Source organism: Homo sapiens, chromosome 11, assembly GCF_000001405.40.
Source record: "Homo sapiens chromosome 11, GRCh38.p14 Primary Assembly".
In the NCBI taxonomy this organism is placed as follows: Eukaryota; Metazoa; Chordata; class Mammalia; order Primates; family Hominidae; genus Homo; species Homo sapiens.
The window spans coordinates 125,744,027-125,751,139 of record NC_000011.10 but is presented as its reverse complement, the minus strand read 5'-3'; the positions used below and the strand labels follow the sequence as shown (position 1 = coordinate 125,751,139).

Sequence of the window (7,113 nt, the reverse complement as noted above, 5' to 3'; positions counted from 1 at the left end):
AAGAATATCTAGGATATCACTCTGAGATAAAGATGACTTTAGGACTGTGTGTCCTTATTTAAAGAAAAAATAAGAGTATCTTTACTTGTATGGAGGATAAATGCATCTCTTTAGGCAAAAGCATAAAGTTGCCTTTCTTGTTCAATGGAGTCCAAACATATATAAAAAGGTATGTACAGATGTTGAAAGGTCAAAGACGTGATTGAGCTGGTTATTAAATGATTGTCTCTCAGTTTTAAGTTCACACTTCTATACCCTGCTTTATGATGGTGGTTTTTGCAAGCTAGATCCTTGTTAAATTCTGCCAATAGGAGGTGCTGGAGGGAGACTGGCAAGCTGGACAAGGGATGCATCTTTTCCCGTTTGCTTCCTCTTCCTCTCAACAGCTTTTTACCTGGGCAGTGGCAGTTGGCTTCAGAGCTACAGTTGGTTTTGTTCCATGGTTTTCCCCACAACACTTTCAGAACCAGCTTCCTGGTGCCCCACAGAGATACCAGCACCATCTGAACAGTACCCCTTCCCTAGAGGTATGCATTTTATCTTTATGGAGGCCCTTTGTTCCTGAGATGTTTGGGTTCCAGTTCCAAGGGATCCCTCCCTCACAGTTTTAAGTTAATTAATTAATTAATTTTAGAGATGGGATCTTCCTCCGTCACCCAGGCTGGAGTGCCACTGCACAATCATAGCTCGCTGCAGCCTTGAATTCCTGGGCTCAAGAGATCCTCCATCTGCACTTCCTTCCCCCACACTTCTAAGGTCTAGTCTAATTACCTTAATTACCTTAGACCTTAGAAGTATGGACCTCCAACATTTTCCTTGTGTTTCCCTAGACCTACAGGTTTTAGCTGTTTCTTGCAATTTCTGTCTCTGTTAACTCGATATCTCCCTTTGGCTTTTTGTATCCTTCAATACCTGGTTAACCGCTCTTAATTTTACAGTCTCTGTAAAAATAACTGGTGCTGTTTTTGGTTTCTGACTGACCCACATGGGGAGTAGTATGACTTTCAGGTTTGTGTGAAGGGTAAATGAGTCAGAAAATAAAAAGTGTTTATAGCAGTGCCTCTCATATAGTAATTGTCATATAAGTGGAAGCTATTATTATTATTTACTTAAGATCTGTCTCTCCCATTAGTCTAAGCTCCATGAGGATAGGGATTATGATGCTGTGTACATACTAGGGTCTAGCAGTACCTGGAACATAGTATGTTTTGAATACATGTTTGTTAAAGGAATTAGGAAGAGGTTGGAGGAGAGAGAAAGAAGGACACACAATTTGGGTATAGAAGAAAGGTAGCTTTCTTTATATTTTTATTATTATTTTTATATAATATAATATAATTCATCACTCTTTCCAGGCTTCATTCTACAAGTTTCGTTAGAAATCAGCCTCTACCCTTGTGAACAGGTTCGGTCAAACTGCCATTTTTCTCCAGGATGTTAGAATTATACAGAGTGGCAAGCTCAAGTGTGTGAGATGGAGGTAAGGGTGGGAGAGGCATCTGGGGTCATGGGGCATCTCTTCACACAAGTGGCTGATGAGATGTCTAGTGGCCAGACTCAAATGGCTTCCTCAGACCCCACATTTCTCAGCTTCCTCTATGCCATGCTCCAGGCATGGGAATATTTGTTTTGCTGCTGGTGGCTCTGTCTCCTGGAAGTATCCTGAAGCTGTTCCCTGTCTAGAGGTTGATGTCTCCTTGTGAGTTTGGCAGGGAAGCTGGATGCAGGTACTATTTCTAGAATCCCATAGACTTCTCCTGCTTTTATTCTCCAACCCCCAGCCCCAAACAGATCTGATTCTAGAAGGCAGACAATCTTTCTCTGTTCATGTTTCTGATGCAGTTTCCTTTCTATGTCCCAATCTTCTCCTCACCCTGGGATCAGCATTCATGAACAAACTCCAAGAAGACTTGAGCCACTTCTTTTTATGTTGCTACTCCCCATCCCTTCAGGCCACAGTTATGTGCTTTCTTTGGAGTGGGATAAGAAGGATAACACAGAAAGGAAAAAAATTTGAAAAATATATTAAAATACCCTGCCACAGAAGGAAGGAAAGCAGCAGAGGAAAGAGGAAGGGATTCTTTTTTGAAATTAAACTACCCTTTCCTCCTTTTCTGAATGAACTGGCTATACAGTGAAAGCACAAGGGTTTGTAGCAACCTGCAGGATATATTGATCTTGTTCTTTCTCTCAAGGTTATTTATTTACTTATTTTAAGGGGCGTGACAGAGACTGTAGAAAAGGAGAGGGACTTTCCTTTCGTGTGCAGAAGATGGAGCCATGTGTTTGCAATCCTCTTCTGTAGTGTGTGTGTGTGTGTGTGTGATTTTTTTTAGAAAGTCATTGTGAAGAGGCTGAGGCAACAACCTCACCCAGAAATTGGAGTCACAGAAGAACCATTAACTTCTAAAGGTCTTCATTGCACAGGTCATGGCTCCTGCAGCACCTGAAGTTCACCAAATAGACACTCCACCTTATGCCTTTCACATCAGCACAGTTCTTTAGGCAGCCCATGAAGGTTAACCAGGGATTACCATCCCCTGTGGAGGGGAGAAAAAACAGATCAGGAAGCCTGGCCATGAAAGTTCTGCTAAAAAACTTTTCTCCAGACCACACCAACATATAGAAATAATCTTGTGTAGTTCAAAGCTCCGTTATTCAAATGTAAAGAACTGGAAGATGTTGCAAGCTGGGGGCTTCCCAAAAGAAATGCAGTGATGGAGCAGTCTAAAATGATCATTTGGGGTAGGGCAGTAAGGAGAGCCGTAATTCAGGGATTGCCAAAGCTGGGTGTTTCTCTTGAGAGTCTTAACACTGGTTCAAGTGAGGGTTATAAATGCCAAGAGATAATTTAGCACAAAGGGTGGAAAAAGAGAAATCATGATGTCTCATCTTAACCATCCAGGGCAATTCAGCCAGAGTCTACTGATGACACTGGCCCTTCTATTTCCACAGTTTAGAACCATCCGTAAGGAAGCCCAGACAGGCACAAGAACCAAAAGCCCCCTCCACAACTCAACAACACACTGTTACCCATTGGGCATAGATTACACCTATTCTCTTACCTTGATTTATTCTCCTCTGTTTTCTTCAGGCTTCTCAAAATGCTAATCCCTTAGCTGTAGGCCCCCACCCTCCTTAGTGACCACCTCCATCTAATTTTCATTACGGCATATGATGGGGATGAAGGAATCAGCCATCCCAGGTATGAGACTGCCTATAGTAAAAGTAAAGTAAGATCTCTCCTTTCCCCTGTGGCTGATACGTCCCTGTATACGTCCTCTGCCCGTTCTTCTTTTCCCCAACCCACAACTTACTTTTGAACATCCTTCCAACCATGCAGGCCTCTTCTGTTGTTGCTGTGCATATTCCTCTTCCTCTGGAGCACTTTTCTCCTGGGAACTGGAGGTGGCACATCCTACACTGAACAATTTCTATCACTTGGCCAGAGAGAGGGGAAAGAGAAGTGAGAAAAGATGGCACTACCAGGAAAGAACCCCTCTCCCCTTTTGGGTTAGAAGTCTGCCTAGAGCCACAGGGCTTTGCCAGAGCCCATCAAGCGTGAACCTCTTCCTCTGTGGAAATACACTAAGCCAAGAGAGTGATTGAGGTTTATGGTCTCAGGAATTTTAGCCTGAAAAATGGGAGGGGAAAGAAAGGTGGAGGAATAAGGAAAAGTGAAACATTATCAAGACTGAGGTGATCAGACAGGTCCTCTTCATACTTACCAGGAAAATTGTTTTTCACAGCAACTATTTCATTGACTGTACTGGCAAGAGAAAGAAAACACATCTGAAATGTGCCTGAGATTTACTCTTGTATTGGGTTCTTATAGTCTGCCCTTCAGGGTCCATCCTGCACTCTTAAACTGGAGCCATTCCAGGCCCACTCTGTCCCCCTAATGCCTAGTCACCTACTGGGCATCTCTGCACCTCTTCTCTCCTTCTAAATCTCTTCACCTCTTCGGGGCTTCTCAGATTCATCTACCCATTCCTATAGGATGCAGCACAGACCAGGAGGAGAAAGATAAGTGCACCTGCTTTTTTGCTTCATTCCCTTCTTTTTAATTGACTCTGTGTGGCACTCTTACCTGTGGGTGCCTGGAATCTGACAATGGGGACAACCTGAAATTCCTGAAGTTGCCACGCTTTAGATTTGGCCAAGCGACACCTGAAAAGCCAGCATTCCACTTCCTCCTTTTCCTTTTCCTTGCCCTTCACTGACGCTCACTCCTGACCTTGTCAGTTGATGCTAATGTTATTTTGTCAAACCTAAAATCAGCTCCCATGCCAGCTCTGTCCTGCTGGAAGAGGTTGTTGCGTGTTGGAACTCAAGGTCTATTCGTATTTTGGTTTTTTTTGGCCCCTGGTGCTCACCTCACCCCACTCATCTTTTCCTCCTCAGACCTTCCCCTTCTCATACCACTTATCTATTCCTACTCACCTGCATCATTTCTCATTGAAAGTGATCCAGATAATGCTGTTGGAAAAAAAAAGAGATACACTGTCTGCAGACCTCATTTTCCAAACCCCATCTCAAAGCTTCTATGAACATCCACTCAATTCCTCTCTAATCTACCTATTTCCCCCCATAAAGGAAGGGAGAAGAGCTTTAGTTAAGGTCCTGGGGACATGACATACCCCTGGTAGAAGGCATAACATTAGAACAGAAGCTCATCATGCTTCAGTTGCCATAGGACTCCCATGAGAAGGCCTCTGTCATGGGTGCTCTCACCTGTTCCTAAATTCAGGACTCTTACCAGCTGTCAACCCTAGGGACTCACCCCTAAAGCAGCAGAGCAGGATGGGGAGTTCCAGCAAGAGGGACTTGTCCATTTTGGAAAGAGGGAGGGCCAGGCTACAGCACGAAGCTTCGAGAGTGCCTATTTATACACCTGCAAGGTTGGGCTTTCCTGCGAAGGGTTAGGGGTGGGGACTCTGTGGAAGTTCTTGGAAGGCATAACCTGCTCCTAGGGAAATCAATGACTCTGTTATTTCTCTTCCTTGCAACTTGGTGGGGAGAGGTAATGGCCAGGTCAATCCTGAGTCTGATTTATTCCAGTTCTACCACTCAGGATTTTTGATGCCAGGTTCTATGGTCTTTTCACTATACTGTACTGTAAGAGAATGCAAGGATAAAGCTGGGCTGGATGGGTAGAATTGAGAGTCATCTACAACAAGACATTCATTAAAGCTGAGAGAATACATAAGTATAAATCATTGGAATGCAGAAAGGCAAAAGGAAGGCTGAACGCAGACTTAAAAAATACATACCTCTAGGAATGGAGAAGAGAGGGCACAGAAAGGTTAGGCTCAGAGGCAGACAGAGGGTTCCCATGAGGAGAGTAAAGTTTCTCACTGTCAATCATCCTGGAAAGAAGCAGACCCTAGGGTAGAAGATGTAAGCTGAGGAGGGAACTGTTTTCCTTTCTTGAGGCTTCCTGGTGGCTGCAACTTAGACTTTAGTTGGGAGAGAGAGATTTAAGACTACTTCATCTGGAGAGAGGTAAGCTGATCCTTCTCACTTGATGGCAGGCCAGGGTATTGAACCTGTGGATTCTAAGAGCAGCCGTATCTAGTATCTCATTTTAAGTTTTCTGTTAATTTCCTTCAGTTATTGCTATGCATTCAGTGCATTGTAATGAACGTTGCAGCTTAGTCTTCATTGTCATTGTAGAGAACTGACAGAAGAGCTTGTGCCCATGCTTAGGGCAAAGCGTGTATTGCTAGGAGCATCTTCTCTATATGAGAAGAGCAGCAACTGGAAGGATGCAGGTTGCAACAGGGCACAATGCAGGTCTACAGCCAAGTGGGATGGTGGTCTAAGCAAGATGCTGGCTGAAGTGGTTGGGGACAGCAAGAGTAATGTATAAAAAAGATTTTTGCATCCATGATATTTTGGAGGTTATTATCACATGCCAAAAGATCAAACTGGCATTTCCATGCACAGAGGAAGAGAGTTATATACTAACTCCTGACCTGGCACTGACTACCCTGATGAAGTTTTAAAATAACACCATGAAGTATTAATGTACTACATACACACTTGTGCACACATATGCACATGCGTATTCACACACACACACACACGCACACATGACAGCATCGATTTTTGTGTTGAGCATATTCACGGACAGAAGTCTTCCTTTCCTTCCTCTCATTTCCCTGAAATTTAGCATCTTCCCTTGCATCTTTACATTCCTTTCTCTTGCCTTTTGAGATCTCCCCTCCTTTCCTTCCAGGAACCCCATAATTATTTGCCTAATGGCACCCATGAGAAAGGAGGAAATGTTCTCTTCCTCTGCCCTGTCGGAAACGTCTCCTTACCTAACTACACCTCTATAATATTATTATACCACTTCCCCTACAGCAGAAATTTCCTTCTCCCAGCCAATGATTTGTACTGATCCACCTGTATTCCTTGCTTATATTTAAACTCCTTTATCGACTTACCCCTAACATCTCCTCAAATGTATGAATACTGCCTAGCCTTGTGGCCCTAATACCTGATTTTCTTACTGAGCCTCACTCTGCTCCTTTTCTTTGTGACTCTAATCCTTTTACTTTTTGCCTTAAGGGACCCCCCACCACCAAATTCTTCTTATGTCATAAATTCCAGACCTGTGCCCAGAAAGTATTCAGGAATCCCTTTCGCCCTATTGTTTTGAACCCTATGGAAGTTTATAAAGCCCTTTATTCACGATCCCCTCCCTCTAACACAGAGTTCTGGAGATTCAGTTAGTCCAGAAGAGTAAGCCCTGGCTTATACCTCATCTCTGAGAGTGATGAGGTACTTAGTTATGTCTCTGTGTGTACGATTAGAAGATGTTTAGATTATAGCTGAGAACTTTTAGTTTGCATCTCCAATGTTATCCTGCAAATAAAAAAATGATGATTTTTGAATGGAAATTCACCTTCCAATCAGTTATTAATTTTAAAAGAAATAAATCTACGCTTCACAGGGGATACAGCAACACATCCTGAGTTTCATTGGTAACTGAGATGTTTTTATGTAATAATCATTTTGAATATGTTAACTGGGTTAGTGATGAGGATGAGTACCAGGATTTGAGGAAAGACATCTCAGCTTAGGCGGACCTTACATATGAGGAGG

The 7,113-nt window shown here is 43.1% G+C and overlaps 1 protein-coding gene across 1 annotated transcript; it reads right to left on the bottom strand.

Annotated features, from left to right (window-relative positions):
* Positions 1-1,272: 1,272 nt before the first annotated feature.
* PATE1 (prostate and testis expressed 1) lies at positions 1,273-4,861 on the bottom strand. Its single transcript, NM_138294.3, has 5 exons — positions 4,784-4,861; positions 4,444-4,479; positions 3,729-3,764; positions 3,318-3,440; positions 1,273-2,540 (listed from the first exon to the last, which is right to left on the bottom strand). The coding sequence occupies exons 1-5, from the start codon at positions 4,833-4,835 to the stop codon at positions 2,407-2,409; spliced, it is 381 nt and encodes a 126-aa protein (NP_612151.1). The 5' UTR covers positions 4,836-4,861; the 3' UTR covers positions 1,273-2,406.
* Between the last annotated feature and the right edge of the window lie 2,252 nt (positions 4,862-7,113).